This window comes from Homo sapiens, chromosome 1, assembly GCF_000001405.40.
Source record: "Homo sapiens chromosome 1, GRCh38.p14 Primary Assembly".
In the NCBI taxonomy this organism is placed as follows: Eukaryota; Metazoa; Chordata; class Mammalia; order Primates; family Hominidae; genus Homo; species Homo sapiens.
In genome coordinates this window covers 27179860-27196480 of record NC_000001.11, presented here as the reverse complement: position 1 = coordinate 27196480, position 16621 = coordinate 27179860, and the positions used below count along the sequence as shown (strand labels likewise).

The following is a 16621-nucleotide window of genomic DNA, read 5'->3' as shown; positions in this document are numbered from 1 at the left end:
CATCATGTAAACATCATAGAGTGTACTTACACAAACCTAGGTAGTATGGCCTCCTACACACCTAGGCTATATGGCACAGCCTATTGCTTCTAGGCTACAAACCTATACACCATGTTAGCGTACTGAACACCGTAGGCAATTGTAACATGATGGTAAGTATTTGTGTATCTAAACATACCCAATCATAAAAAAGGTACAATAAAAACATGGTGTTCCAATCTTATGGAACTACTGCTGTATATGTGGTCTGTAGTTGAGTAAAACATCATTATGCAGTACCTGACTGTAATATATGTAAAGTAATTAGTGCATAGTAGGTGATAAATAAATGGTAGTTGGTTATAATCACATACACCTTCTATTTACTCACCACTAATCTCTGAACTCTAGGGGATGCGGAAGAGCTAGAGAAGAGAACCTAGCTGGCTTCCACACTGGTTGCAGAGAGCAGGTCACTGGAGGCAGGATATAATGAAATGCAAATGGCAGGTCACAGCCTGTGAGTGCTGCAGGAGCACAGTGCCAGCAGAGAATAATCATTCTCACGTCTCCATAACACATCGCAGTGTTTACATTGTCCTTTAACATCTTTCTTTCTTTTTTTTTTTTTTTTTGAGATGGAGTTTCGCTCTTGTCGCCCAGGCTACAGTGCAATGGCACAGTCTCGGCTCACTGCAACCTCTGCCTCCCAGGTTCAAGCAATTCTCCTGCCTCAGCCTCCTGAGTAGCTGAAATTACAGGCATGTGCCACCACGCCCTACTAATTTTTGTGTTTTTAGTAGAGATAGGGTTTCGCCATGTTGGCCAGGCTGGTCTCGACCTCCTGACCGCAGATGATCCGTTCGCCTTGGCCTCCCAAAGTGATGGGATTCTAGGCATGAGCCACTGCGCCCGGCCAATTGTCCTTTAACATTTATAATTTTACTTATAACAACTGTGAGGTAGATATTAACGTTATCATCTCCATTTTACAATGACATGCCCAAGGTTGTATCACTAAGAAGTGGCAGAGGTGGCTTGAGCTTGGGGCATCCTCACTCAGAGGCTGCCTTCTTTTTACTCCCCAGAGAGTTTTCTAGATAACAAGTCTAGAAAGATAGGTCTTGAAGGGTGAGAGGCATCGGAGAAGCAGAGAAGGCTATTTAAGCAGTGACACTATCAAGAAACGGAAAAGGGTGGAAATTGGACCAGTGACCACCAGCAGTCCTCCAGGTAGGGAGAATGCCCTGATTCTATACCCTAAGATACACTAAGGACCTCTAGCCCAGCCTGGTTGGACAGAAGTCAGGGAGGCTTTCCTGGAGAAAGCAACATCCGAGCTGAGGCCTGAATGATGAGCAGGAGTTGGCCTGAGCTCCCAGGCAAAATAACTATCAGGAGCACATTTGGGGAACTGGAAATAGTTCAAAGAGGCAGGAGCAGAGTATGGCTAAGAATGAGGCTGTGGTCAGATGGGGCAGGGCTTTGTAACCCACATTAAGATCTTGGACTTTATCTCAGGCCACTAAGGACTCAATGCTTTGTTTACCGAGAAAATTTGAGCTTTACACCAATCACTGATTGCAATATGGAGACTGACTGGCAGGGGCCAAACTGGAGGCAGGAGGCTGGTGAGAAAGTTGGTGCAGTAACCCAGTGAAAATAGGAGGGTTGCCTGGTAGGGGGGGTGTAGCAAATATTGGGAGATATGAGCAGATTTAGGAGATAATTAAGAGGCAGAATGGAGGCCAGGCACGGTGGCTCATGCCTGTAACCCCAGCACTTTGGGAGGCAGAGGTGGGAGGACTACTTGAGCCTAGGAGTTCGAGACCAGCCTGGGCAACAGAGTGAGACCCTGTCCCAAAAACTTTTAAAAAGAGGCAGAGTGGACTGGAGTTGGTGATTAATTGAACACTGGAAGTAATGGGGAGTCGGGGAGCAGAGGTGGGAAGAAAGAAGGAGGAGGTGAGGGTATCTTCCAGTTCCTGGCTGGAGCAGCTGGTTGGGTGGCTGTATCAATCCCTGGGCTGGGGAAGATGAGGGAGAAGTCCCTGAAGAGAGGACAAAGGAGCAAGGCTTTGAGGGGTAAGACGAATTTAGCAGCTGATGGAAGCGGGAGTGTCAAATGCTCTTAGTGAAAGCAAGCTGAATTTTCCCTTTGTATTCATTCAACACATATTTGTGACTGGGGGTGGGAGCTCACACCTGTAATCCCAGCACTTTGGGAAGCTGAGGTGGGTGGATCACTTGAGGCCATGAGTTCAAGATCAGCCTGGCCAACATGGTGAAACCTCTGCCCCTACTTAAAATACAAAAATTAGTGAGGCATGGTGGCAAAAGCATGTAATCCCAGCTACTCAGGAGGCTAAAGCAGGAGAATCGCTTGAACCTGGGAGGTGGAGGTTGCAGTGAGCCGAGATCGTGCCACTGCACTGCAACCTGGGTAACAGAGCAATACTCTGTCTCAAAAACAAAAAACAAAAAACAAACAAACAAAAAAACCCACATATTTGTTAGGGGCCTACTATATGTCAGGCACCATCCCAGGCACTGAGAATACAGCAGTGAACAAAACAGACCAGGTCCTGTCCTCCTGGAGTTTACATTCTAGTGGGTGGAGACAGACAATAAGCAAAGAAATGTCTATAAATATGTCAAGGCGTGGTAGGTGCTATGAAGACAAATTAGACTGATTATGAGGCTACACATGGAGGTTGTCATTTGGATAGGGTGATCAGAGAAGGCTTCTCTGATTTTTAGGCAGAGACCTGAATGAAGTGAGGAGGGACACATGCAGATATGGCGACGCACCCTTCTGGGCAAAAAGAAGGGCATGGCTTTGAGGTCAGAGATTCTCTCCATGCTGTGACCACTCCAGTCACGGCAGGGGTCAGAAATAGGCACTGAATACCCTGAAAGGAATAAGGATTTTACTATAAAACCATTTCCTTCTCCCCTGAAAGATGAAATTCCCCCAGAGCACTTTTAAACCCATGCAGTCTTCTGAAGACTTGAATTGGTTTTGCTCTTTGCCAGCTCCATCACATACTAGTTGCGTAAACCTGGACACATCATTACCTTCTCCAAGCCTCAGTTTTCTCATTTATAAAATGGGTATACTAATACAAATTTGCCATAAGGAACAAATGAAGTTATACATACAGTGCCTGGCACAGAACAGATTGTTTAATAATGTTAGCCTTTTGTTAACAACCAGGATGGAGAAAACTGGCTTAATTGGGGTGTGAGAGTCTAATTAATTCTAGCCTTGAACTCTCATTGCTGCTATTGCTGGCAGGAAAAAACTACACAAATACATTTATTCCCCTTCAACTCCTTTTTCTATCCAACTTCCTTTTCCCAGCTTCTGACCTGGGCATATGTGTGGTTTCAAGAAGGCTCGTTGAAGAGAGAATTGACAATTCTCCTGGTGGCACAATATTCTGGTTTAGCCTTGAAGCCCCGTCTTCCCCATCTTCTGCTGCTGAGCCCCCTTCCTCCACCGATGTACTGGACTTATCTCACTGGGGGAGGAGAGAGTGAGCAGAGTGGGTGTGGTGGAAGAAATGACTCAACCTAGAACTTGTGGAATTTTGCATAAGGCTCCACCCTGCAACTCCCTGCCCAAGAGGTCTCTGTGCTGGGTCGGTGGAATGGTGCCAGCCCTTACCAGGTGTGGCATGTTGAGATTCTAAATGTTGAGCCTCACTGGTAGTCTCAGCTACTCAAGAGACCAAGGCAGAAGGATCACTGGAGCACAGGAGTTTGAAGTTGCAGTGAGGTGTGATTGCGCCACTGCACTCCAGCCTGGGCAACAGAGCGAGAATAAAAAATAAATGTTGAGGGTCAGGCGTGGTGGCTCACACCTGTAATCCCAGCACTTTGGGAGGCCGAGGCAGGTGGAGGCCAGGAGTTTGAGACCTGGCCAACACAGTGAAACCCCGTCTCTACTAGCTGGGTGTGGTGGTACGCACCTGTAATCCCAGCTACTCTGGAGGCTGAGGCATGAGAAACATTTGAATCTGGGAGGCGGGGATTACAGTGAGCCGAGATTGCGCCACTGCAGCTTGCGCGACAGAGACTGCTTCTCAAAACAAACAAACAAACAAAAAAATGTTGAGTCTTTAAAGACACCTGAACAAGGCTAGGGCAGGTGTGGGCAGTGGAGGTGATCATCTCTATGCTAGTGACTTAGAGTCGTGCCAGAGCTAGGCCTCTGGAGGCAAAGATGGAAGAGCACGTGGAAGGGAGGGGCAGTGGGTAGGGGGAGGGAAGGATCGAGGGAAGCTGGACTGTGTGACCTTGGCTGAATCACTATGTAATCAGGCCACACCCTTGCTCAATAGCCTTCAATGACTCCCCATGCCACAGGATAAAGTCCCAAAAACTTAACCCTGATCCAACCTACAATTTCATTTGGTTTACTACTCTACTCCACCCCTTCCCCATGCTTCCTGAAATGCAGCCTCAGAGGTCTCTGCTTGGTCTCTTTTCTTTTTTTTTTTCTTTTTCATTGTTTTCTTCTTTGTTATTCAACCAGAGCCAAGTCAGAATCTTTTTTTTATTATTGCCTTTCCCCCCAGGATTCCTAATATGATACCCACAATATATAATATCTGTGTTTAATAAACTTTTTATTTGGAATCATTTTAGATTTACAGAGAAGTTGCAGAGATAGTCAAGGGAGCTGGGTGCAGCGGCTCACCCCTGTAATCTCAAATCTCAGCACTCTGGGAGGCTGAGGTGGGAGGATCCCTTGAGGCCAGAAGTTTGAGACCAGCCTGGGTGACATAGAGAGACTCTGTCTCTCTCTTTTTTTTTTTTTTTTTGAGACAGAGTCTTGCTCTGTCACTCAGGCTGCAGTGCGGTGCTGCGGTCTCGGCTCACTGCCACCTCCACCTCCTGAGTTCAAGCGATTCTCCTGCCTCAGCCTCCTGAGTAGCTGGGATTAACAGCCCGGCTGATTCTGTCTTAAAAAAAAAAAAAAAAAGGCCAGGTGTGGTGGCTCACGCCTGTAATCCCAGCACTTTGGGAGGCCGAGGCGGGCAGATCACGAGGTCAGGACATTGAGACCATCCTGGCTAACATGGTGAAACCCTGTCTCTATTAAAAAATACAAAAAAATTAGCCGGGCGTGGTGTCGGGTGCTGTAGTCCCAGCTACTCGGGAGGCTGAGGCAGGAAAATGGCCTGAACCCGGGAGGCGGAGCTTGCAGTGAGCCGAGATGGCACCACTGCACTCCAGCCTGGGCAACAGAGCAAGACTCCATCTCACAAAAAAAAAAAAAAAAAAATCAGGAGCCGGGTGCAGTGGCTCATGCCTGTAATCCAGCACTTTGCAGAAAAAGCCTAAAGAAGAAACAAAGTCAGCATTATTTTACCATCTAGTGGAAAACTTCCTATCAGAGTGGTCTGAGGATGGAATAGGATCCCTGTAAGTCTGTGCTTCATTCACCAGCCCAATGTGGCTAATGAGCACATGAAATGGTCTACATGGTGATGATTTTTAAAATTTATTATTTATTATGATGATGACTATTTTTGAGACAGGTTCTTGCTCTGTCACCCAGGCTGGAGTGCAGTGGCTCGATCATGGCTCACTGCAGCCTTGACCTCCTGAGCTCAAGCAGTCCTCCCACCTCAGCCTCCTTAGTAGCTGGGATTATAGGCATGTGCCACCATGCCCAACTAATTTTTGTATTTTTTGTAGAGACAGAGTCTTGCCATCTTGCCCAGGCTGGTCTCGAACTCCCAGACTCATACAGTTGTCCCACTTTGACCTCCCAAAGTACTAGGATTACAGGCGTGAGCCACCACACTCAGCAAGACAGTTTAATACCAAAAAAATCTCCATAACAATTTTTTATAATCATATCATGTTGAAAGATAATATTTCAGATTTGCTGAGTTAAATAAAACATATTATTAAAATTAATTTCACCTCTTTCTTTTTTACTTTTTTGGTAGTTACCAGAATGTGTTCAATTATATACATGGCTTGTGTTAGATATATTTGAGCACTGAGTAGATTTGGGTGTAGGGTGGTGGGTGGTGGTAGCGGAGTTTGGATTAGGTGATTTTCTTTTAATTACTAAAAAGTATGTTTTGTTGGCCAGGCGCGGTGGCTCACACCTCTAATCCCAGCACTTTGGGAGGCTGACATGGGCAGATCACGAGGTCAGGAGCTCAAGACCATCCTGGCTAACACAGTGAAACCCCATCTCTACTAAAAATAAAAAAAAATAGCTGGGCGTGGTGGTGAGCGCCTGTAGTCCCAGCTACTTGAGAGGCTGAGGCAGGAGAATGGCATGAATCCGGGATGCAGAGCTTGCAGTGAGCCGAGATGGCACCATGCACTCCAGCCTGGGTGACAGAGCGAGACTCCATCTCAAAAAAAAAAAAGTATGTTTTGTTTTGTGGGTTTTTTTTTTTTTTTTTTCGAGATGGAGTCTCGCTCTGTTGCCCAGGCTGGAGTGCAGTGGTGCATCTCGGCTCACTGCAACCTCTGCCTCCTAGGTTCAAGCGATTCTCCTGCTTTAGCCTCCCTAGTAGCTGGGACTACAGCTGCGCGCCACCACGCCCAGCTAATTTTTGTATTTTTAGTAGAGATGAGATTTCACTATGTTGGCCAGGCTGGTCTAGAACTCCTGACCTCGGGATCAGCTCTCCTCCGCCTTCCAAAATGCTGGGATTACAGCTGTGAACCACCACACCCAGCCCATTATATCATTCTTATACCTTTGCATCCTTATGTAACTGGTGGAAGGTGTCCAGGTTCTTGGCGTCTTGAACAAAGAATTGGACCAAACACACAAACAAAGCAAGGAAAGAATGAAGCAACAAAAGCAGAGATTTGCTGGGCGTGGTGGCTCATGCCTGTAATCCCAGCACTTTGGGAGACCAAGGCAGGTGGATCATGAGGTCAGGAGATAGAGACCAGCCTGGCCAGCATGGTGAAACCCTGTCTCTACTAAAAATACAAAAATTAGCTGGACATGGTGGTGCACGCTTGTAATCCCAGCTACTCAGGAGGCTGAGGCAGGAGAATCACTTGAACCCAGGAGTCAGAGGTTGCAGTGAGCCAAGATCAAGCCATTGCACTCCAGCCTGGCGACAGAGCGAGACTCCCTCTGAAAAGAGGAAAAGAAAAGAAAAAAAAGAAAAGAAAAAAGAGCCCAGGCGGGTGGATTGCCTGAGCTCGGGAGCTCGAGACCAGCCTGACCAACATGGTGAAACCCTGTCTCTAGTAAAAATACAAAAAATTAGCTGGGTGTGGTGGCAGGCGCCTGTAGTCCCAGCTACTTGGGAGGCTGAGGCAGGAGAATCACTTGAACTCGGGAGGCGGAGGTTGCAGTGAGCCGATATCGTGCCGCTGCACTCCAGCATGGGTGACAGAGTGAGACTCCATCCCAAAAAAAAAAAAAAAAAAAGGAAAAAGAAAAAAAAAGCAAAGATTTATTGAAAATGAAAGTACATTCCACAGGGTGGGAGCGGGCCTGGGCATAGGAGCTCAAGAGCCCTGTTACGGAATTTTCTGGGACTTAAATACCCTCTAGAGGTTTCCATTGGTTACTTGGTGTACCCCCTATGTAAATGAAGAGGATGAAGTAAAGTTACAAAGTTATTGGCCAGGCACAGTGGCTCACGCCTGTAATCCTGTGGGAGGCTGAGGAGGGTGGACCGCTTGAGCTCAGGAGTTCAAGACCAGCCTGGCTAACATGGTGAAACCCCATCTCTACTAAAAATACAAAAATTAAGAGTGGGCGTGGTGGCTCACACCTGTAATCCCAGCACTTTGGGAGGCCAAAGCAGGCAGATCACCTGAGGTCGGGAGTTCAAGACCAGCCTGACCAACATGGAGAAACCTGCTCTCTACTAAAAAATACAAAAACTAGCTGGGCGTGGTGGTGCATGCCTGTAATCCCAGCTACTCAGGTGGCTGAGGCAGGAGAATCGCTTGAACCCTGGAGGCAGAGGTTGCAGTGAGCCGAGATCGCTCCATTGCACTCCAGCCTGGGCAACAAGAGTGAAACTCCATCTCAAAAAAAAAAAAAGAAAGAAAAAGAAAAAGCTGGGTGCAGTGGCTCACATCTGTAATCCCAGCACTTTGGGAGGCCGAGGCGGGAGGATCACGAGGTCAGGAGTTTGAGCAGCCTGACCAACATGGTGAAACCCCTGTCTCTACTAAAAATACAAAAATTAGCCAGGCGTGGTGGTGGGTGCCTGTAATCCCAGCTACTTGGCAGGCTGAGGCAGGAGAATCGCTTGAACCCGGAAGGTGGTGGTTGCAGTGAGCTGAAATTGTGCCATTACACTCCAGCCTGGGCAACAAGAGCAAAACTCTGTCTCAAAAAAAAAAAAAAAAAAATTAGCCAGGCATGGTGGCACATGCTGTAATCCCTGCTACTTGGGAGGCTAAGGCAGGAGAATCACTTGAACCAAGGAGGCGGAGGTTGCAGTAAGCCGAGACTGTGCCACTGCACTCCAGCCTGGGCAACAAAGTGAGACTCCATCTCAAAAAAAAAAAGAAAGAAAGAAAGAAAAAAAGCCATTTATTCTGTGTACACCCCATGTAAATCAAGAGGATATTTCCTGTCATAGCTGAAGTGTTTCCATTTGATTTAGTTCTAGGAAGTCCTTAAGTTCCCTGCCTCCAGGCCCTATTCTCCTGCCTCATTTCCCCCTTGAAAGACGTGATTCCCATAAATCTTTATAGGAGGCAGAGGGACTGATGGTGTTTTTTCTGTAACTGCTTTATGCTGGCTTGCGGCATAGTTCCCTCCTATTGGGGACCACAGAACTCTCACCCTGCTCTGTCTAGTGGAGGCAGGGTAGCTCTTTGAAGGCCAGGGGTGGTGTCTTCACCTGGAACTGGCTGGAACAGTTGTCACATGATCATCTGAAGCTTGATGGTCTCTAGGTGAGAGGAAATGAATTTGGTTAAAAGAGTTAATGGTAACTTCATGGGGTGGATAGCTATGCTGTCAGGAATATTTGTTATAGAGATCTGCAGGAGAAAAACAAAACCTGGTCTGTTGTCTGTTCTAGGATCTACGTGTTACCTTAAAGTCTTAGCAAGAGCAACTCCATTTTGGTCTGGTTTGGTCTGTTGGGGCCTAGTGCATGAGCTCAATCCAAAACAATGGCCTCTCATAATTTTGTTTTTGAAAATTCCCCCTTTTTGGTCAGGTTCTCACTTAGGTGAGAGTGACCAAAACTTAGGGCCTTAGTGCTACTGTCAGTTACCATCATTTTGAGTTTCTGGTCTCAGCACGTCATTCATAGGTTACAGTATCCTCATGGTCACAGATTTCTTTTTTTTTTTTTTTTGGAGACGGAGTCTCGCTCTGTCGCCCAGGCCGGACTGCGGACTGCAGTGGCGCAATCTCGGCTTACTGCAAGCTCCGCTTCCCGGGTTCACGCCATTCTCCTGCCTCAGCCTCCCGAGTAGCTGGGACTACAGGCGCCCGCCACCGCGCCCGGCTAATTTTTTGTATTTTTAGTAGAGACGGGGTTTCACCTTGTTAGCCAGGATGGTCTCGATCTCCTGACCTCATGATCCACCCACCTCGGCCTCCCAAAGTGCTGGGACTACAGGCGTGAGCCACCGCGCCCGGCCGGTCACAGATTTCTTTCAGCTCTTGTCATTCCAGTTGAAGACAGATCATTTGACATTGTAGAGATAGCTGCATGCAAACATTTCAAACCTTTGAGAGAATACAGCACACCAAGGGTTTGGAGTATCCTCCTTACCCAGGGTCCCCATAAACCAAAACTCCTAAAATCAAATAGATCAAAGAATGAGCTGAAGAGTCTACTCACCTAACTAAGAAATCTCTTCGCTAATCCTCTACCACTGAATCTCTATAATCTTCATTTGATGTATTTTTCCATAGGCCACAAGTGCCAGCAGCTGTACAGATATTTCTTTGTTAGCCAATTTTAACTTTCACAAGAGAATTTAAAGTCTATCGTGTGGCCGGGCGCGGTGGCTCACACCTGTAATCCCAGCACTTTGGGAGGCCAAGGTAGGCAGATCACTTGAGGTCAGGAGTTTGAGACCAGCCTGGCCAACATGGCAAAACCCTGTCTCTACTAAAAATACAAAAATTAGCCGGGGATGGTGTTAGGCCCCTGTAACCCCAGCTACTTAGGAGGCTGAGGCAGGAGAATCGCTTGAACCCAGGAAGCGAAGGTTATGGTGAGCCGAGATTGTGCCACTGCACTCCAGCCTTGGTGACAGAGTAATACTCTGTTTCAAAAATAAAATAAAATAAATAAAGTCTATCATGTAACTATAGCCTTTGCAGTAGAATCTGCTATAGAGCCTATCATGAGGGATATATGTCTAATCATTGCATTTCCAAACCATGGAAAAAGGACCTATCAAATGATGCCCTTTCAGAAGAGTGAAGACCTCCTGACAAAGTTCTCTTTAGCCCACTATGTGGGTGAAGAGGAGTGAACTAATTTTCTGTTTCTGACTGATTATGAGGCAATGTATGTATCATTAAAGTTTCTCACCTACATTGGGCCTTCATCTTTTATCTGTCAAAGTATAAGCTTATCCATTTATAAGACTGGCTGCAAAACCCTTCATAAATAAAAGTATGCAGCACAAGTGCACACACCAGACCCCTTTTCCATTTCTATTGTTCACAGAGGCATAAGCAAGGAAAAAATATTCAATGAGTCTCATGATAGTAGAGAAGTCTTGAGTCTCATGATGGTAGAGAAGTCTTTTTTATTAATTTATTTTTTGAGACGGAGTCTTGCCCTTTTGCCCAGGCTGGAGTGCAATGGCATCATCTCGGCTCACTGCAACCTCTGCCTCCTGGGTTGAAGTGATTCTTCTGCTCAGCTTCCCAAGTAGCTGGGATTACAGGCATGCACCACCACACTCGGCTAATTTTTTTGTATTTTTAGTAGAGATAGGGTTTCACCATGTTGGCCAGGCTGGTCTCGAACTCCTGACCTCGTGATCCTCCTGCCTTGGCCTCCCAAAGTGCTGGGATTACAGGCATGAGCCACCACTCCCGGCTGGTAGAGAAGTCTTGATCCATGATCTTGGGAAAAGCGGTTCACATCAAGAATGTCATCTTCTTCTGGGGAGAAACTTCCCTGGTTAGCGTTATCTTAAGGGTTCCAATGGGTGTACAGTTCCGAGAATGTGGAAGGACCCTTCTGAGTTGTGAGATTATGAATCCAAAGTTCAAGGTCCCAAAGTTTTGCTGTAGTGTGGATGGCAGAGTCTTTCTCTGATGTTCTTAGAAGATCCAGTCTTTGTGTTCTAGATTGTGAAGGGGTTGATTGTCCTGTCAGTGAACTATAAAAAGCTTTCTTTACCTGGTGAAAATACACTGTAGCATAATAATTTACTGTTATAACATCAGCCTTCTTGCATGGGAAAGCTATTATATAACCAGAAAACAGGCATTGAAGATGACAATTGAAATGTTTAAATGGCCCATCAGGTAACCAAATGTACCTGAAGCTTTGGGGCCAGGTGCAGTGGCTCACGCCTGTAATCCTAACACTTTGGGAGGCCAAGTCGGGTGACCTGAAGCTTTGATTGTCTTCCCAAGAATATGAATTTGACAAACCAAACATTGGCTATAAACTGCGTTAGCAATGTATAAGTCAGCACACCAATATATATTTAATTTGGATCATTTTATCTTTTCCATGATGAGTCATGGAATGCATAATCTTTACTAACAAAAGCTTTAAGGACTCAAGAAGGACAGGTGGCTGTCCTGGTTCTCCATGAGTCCATGCTTAACATTGGACTTATGTCCTTTTGAATATCAGTTGTTTCTCCAATTTAGGTGCATAGCACTGATAACTAATGGGTTATCACAGGTAATTTGACTTAGACCATGGAGTTTATTCAAATTGTATATCTAAACAATTTCAGTATCAGCTGATTTAGCATGCAAATCTGGGAATGTATTTTCTTGGTATTCAATTAATTTTTGTTCTACTTGGGTTAGCAGTTTTATACAAGGAAATTTGCTTATTTCTGTGGTCTACAGTAACTCAACATAATAAACATAATTATGGTTGATAGCATATACTCAGACATTTAGAATTTTAGAAATCCCATACAATTTTCTAACATACATTAATATTTACCAAAATATAATGTGAAGACGATTAAACATTTTTTTATTTTGACAGTGCTTCCCAGGTAACTAAACATATCAAATAATCCTGTTTACCTCTCTTTTGAACGCTTCAGGAGCCCTCTATAGTATCTCAAAGTTAGAGGTCAGAAAAGAACATTTTGTAATCCCAGCACTTTGGAAAGTCAAGATGGGCAAATCACCTGAGGTTAGGAGTTCAAGACCAGCCTGGCCAACATGGTGAAACCCTGTCTCTACTAAAAATACAAAAAATTAGCTTGGCATGGTGGTGTGCACCTGTAGTCCCAGCTACTCGGGAGGCTGAGGCAGAAGAATCATTGGAAGACCGATGTTGCAGTGAGCCGAGATAGCATCACTGCACTCCAGTCTGGGCAACAGAGTAAGACTCCCTCTTAAAGAAAAAAAAGAAAAAGAAAAGAAAAGACAATTTTGAAGCTGAAATTTGATTTTGGGAGCCTACTAAATAAGTTAAAGGTGAGTTAATGAAGTTAAATAAGTTAAAGACTCCATCTCACAAAAAAAGGTTAGAAAGATTTGTCTATAAGGTTTTATTAAAAATTGGGTTTGGGGTTGACATTAATAGTACAGTAATGCAAGGGTGAAATTTGGCTTTCTCTCTTGAACAAGATTTCCATGTAATTTTAAATGATAAAGAAAGATTTTTGTTTGCCTTTTGAATAAACTACTGGTAAATGACAATGAAAGATTTTTGTTTGCCTTTTGAATAAACTACTGGAAAAAAAAAAGGGAAAGACAAGAGACAGATTGTTTAGAAAGCTAAGTCTTCCCTCTATCAATGAGTAAAGGTTTTTGCCTTTCAAAAGTTTTTTAGTCATCATTTTGGCTAAATGAATGACTTACGGTAACCTGGAATTCTATTTCATAATATTAAGTGTTTTAAACCTTTAACTTATTATTATTATTACTATTTTGAGATGGAGTTATCGCTCTGTTACCCAGGCTGGAGTGCAGTGGCATGATCTTGGCTCACTGCAAGCTCTGCCTTCTGAGTTCACACCATTCTCCTGTCTCAGCCTCCCGAGTAGCTGGGACTACAGGCGCCCACCACCACGCCTGGCTAATTTTTTGTATTTTTGGTAGAGATGAGGTTTCACCATGTTGGCCAGGCTAGTCTCAAACTCTTTTTTTTTTTTTTGGAGACCTAGTCTCTCTCTGTTGCCAGGATGGAGCACAGTGGCGTGATCTCAGCTCATTGCAACCTCTGCCTCCCAGGTTCAAGTGATTCTCCTGCCTCAGCATCCTGAGTAGCTGGGACTACAGGTACATGCCACCATGCCCAGCTAATTTTTGTATTTTTAGTAGAGATGAGGTTTTACCCTGTTGGCCAGTGTGGTCTCGAACTCTAGACCTCAGGTGATCCACCTGCCTCAGCCTCCCAAAGTGCTAGGATTACAAGCATGAGACATCGCACTCGGCCTAGAATTTTTTACAAAATTAATTTTTTTACAAACCTTTCACAACTTGTTCAAACCTTTAGCTTTATCCTAACTTAAAACAATCCTTTAACTCTTTAGGCAAAAAAATCCATATTACCACGCTGGCTTATAATCTTTTACAAAAAGACATTTCACTTTTCTTACATACCTTGCATGTAAAACCGTTTCTTCAGTAGTCTCAATTATAGGTTACAATGTTAACTCTTAGTGACTTTTGCTTTTGGTGAAAACCTTGGTAAGTTAGGGATTTTAATTATGTATTAGGTGTGGAGCCTAGGACCCAGACAGAAGTGCAGATGAGGTCTGACTCTTTCCAGCATCTAACGCCACGTGTCCCAGGCCTTAGCTACCTGTAAGGCAGGCAAGTTGTACAGTTAAAGAGTCATGGTGGCATCTTATGAAGTAGTTACGAGGCCTAATCATTTTTAAATTATTCAACATTTCTTGCATAAATTCTCTTTCATAAATTCTTTCACAGCCGGGCGCAGTGGCTCACACCTGTAATCCCAGCACTTTGGGAGGCCGAGGCAGGCAGATCACCTGAGGTCAGGAGTTCAAGACCAGCCTGGCCAACATGGTGAAACCCTGTCTGTACTAAAACTACAAAAATTAGCCAGGCATGGTGGTGGGTACTTGTAATCCCAGCTACTTGGGAGGCTGAGGCAGGAGAATCACTTGAACCCAGGAGGTAGAGATTACAGTGAGCTGAGATCACGCCATTGCACTCCAGCCTGGGCCACAAGAGTGAAACTCCATCTCAATAAATAAATAAATAAATAAATAAATAAATAAATAAATAAATCAATCCTTTCATGACTTACACAGACCATGTATGACATGCTTGGACTTTCTGACTTGTCCTAAACATCCCTTTTTTTCTTTTTCTGTCTTTTCTGAGATGGAGTCTTGCTCTGTCACCCAGGCTGGAGTGCAATGGCATGATCTCGGCTCACTGCAACCTCTGCCTCCCAGGTTCAAGCAATTCTCCTGCCTCAGCCTCCTGAATAGCTGGGATTACAGGCGTGTTCCACCCACACCCGGCTATTTTTTTTTTTTTTTGTATTTTTAGTAGAGATGGGGTTTCACCATGTTGGTCAGGCTGATCTTGAACTCCTGACCTCATGATCTACCCGCCTTGGCCTCCCAAAGTGCTGGGATTACAGGCGTGAGCCATGTGCTTGGCCGACATCCCTCTTTTTAAACAACCAGTTATTTTACTTTAGGACAAGAATTTACCATAAAAGATCCTTTCTTATATAAAAACTCTTTTCTTTATAACCTTCTTTGCATAGCTAGGGGGCATGGCTAATTTCACATGTCCCCAGGCCTTATATAGAATCTAATGTTCTGGCCAGGCATGGTGGCTCACACCTGCCTGTAATCCCAGCACTTTGGGAGGCCAAGGTGGGCGAATCACCTGAGGTTGGGAGTTCGAGATCAGCCTGACCAACATGGAGAAACGCCGTCTCTACTAAAAATACAAAAAAATTAGCCAGGCGTGGTGGCACATGCCTGTAATCCCAGCTACTCGGGAGGCTGAGGTATGAGAATCGCTTGAACCTGGGAGGCAGAGGTTGTGGTGAGCCAAGATCATGCCACTGCACTCCAGCCTAGGCAACAGAGGGAGACTCTGTCTCAAAAATAAAATAAAATAAAATAAAAGAATCTAATGTTCCAAAATAAATTAAACCATCTTTGAAAATCAAAGAATCAGTTTATGACCTTAAAGCATTTAGCAAACCTAATATCTGACCTGCATAATTTAGACCAAATGTTCACATATTTGAAGATATTTTTATTTTACCAATAATCTTTAAACTCTCTTTGGCCAGACTCTGTGGCTTATGCCTGTAATCCCAGCACTTTGGGAGGCCAAGGCGGGTGTATCACCTGAGGTCAGGAGTTTCAGGCCGACCTGGCCAACATGGTGAAACCCAGTCTCTACTAAAAAAAAAAAAAAAAAAAAAAAAATTAGCCAGGCATGGTGGCACACACCTGTAATCCCAGCTACTTGGGAGGCTGAGGCAGGAAAATTGCTTGAACCTGGGAAGCAGAGGTTGCAGATTGTGCCACTACACTCTAGCCGGGGAGACAGAGCAAGACTCCATCTCACAAAACAAACAAACAAATAAACAAAAAACTTTCTTTATTTCCCAAAGATTACTTAAGTCACATAAACTAAATAAAAGGCATTACACCTTTTACTTTTCTGACCAAATATTTTATTTAAGCTCTTATTAAACTAATTAATTAAATCTCTTTCATAGTATATATAGAAGACGTATAAATACACGGACAGACAGAAAATAAAGGACTCATTCCCTAAGTCAGGAATTGAACCCTAAACCCAGGCTGCTATTGTGAAAAGAGAAAGCATGGCCACGTGGTTACAAGGTCAAGCTCTCAAGGACATGACTGACCAGTTTGCTGGGCCATCTTGAAGAGCAAACCTATGGGGTCCTAGGCAAGCATTTTATCCTAAGGTACCCCTCTTTATGACAGAACAATACAGAAAAACACACAAAGCACATCAGATTCACTACAGCTTAAGAACAGCCTCAGAATTCTTTTTTGTAATAATCAAAACTTTACAGAGGCAATAAACAGTGACTTTTACCCTTCATTAAACCAGTTTGCACAGAGAGAGAGAGGCCAGAGTAACATAAGAAATTCTTACCCTTTTGCCGGCATGTCAGGTTTCTGGGTTCTCTCTGAGCAGCCCTAGCAACCCTGCTCGACTGTATGCAAACAAATGCATTGCCATGAATTACGAATATTCACAAATAGTTTAGAAATTTTGGAGAAACTAGGCAGAGAGAGAAATATGACTCAAATTCTATCTATGAAAGTATACTTAGCACACTTAAAGTATCAGGAAGCCTAAACTCCAAAAAGTTAGTTTAAGGTTAAAAAATTGGTGTGCTCCATTAATTCCTGCAGGCCTGGTAAAGGTAGCCTAGGAATTCCAGATAAATGGAACAAATGATGACGTGCTAGAAATGCATAGGAAACAAAATAACTATTGATAGAACCAAATAAA

General features: G+C 44.4%; 1 annotated feature.

The window, feature by feature from the left end:
• Window positions 3037-4236: an enhancer, noted in NCBI's record as "MED14-independent group 3 enhancer chr1:27518736-27519935 (GRCh37/hg19 assembly coordinates)". NCBI's record gives its function as "activates an origin of replication core promoter dependent on BRD2, BRD4, P300/CBP and CDK7 cofactors, and independent of MED14, by STARR-seq in HCT116 cells {active_cell/tissue: HCT116}" and the evidence as "EXISTENCE:reporter gene assay evidence [ECO:0000049][PMID:35650434]".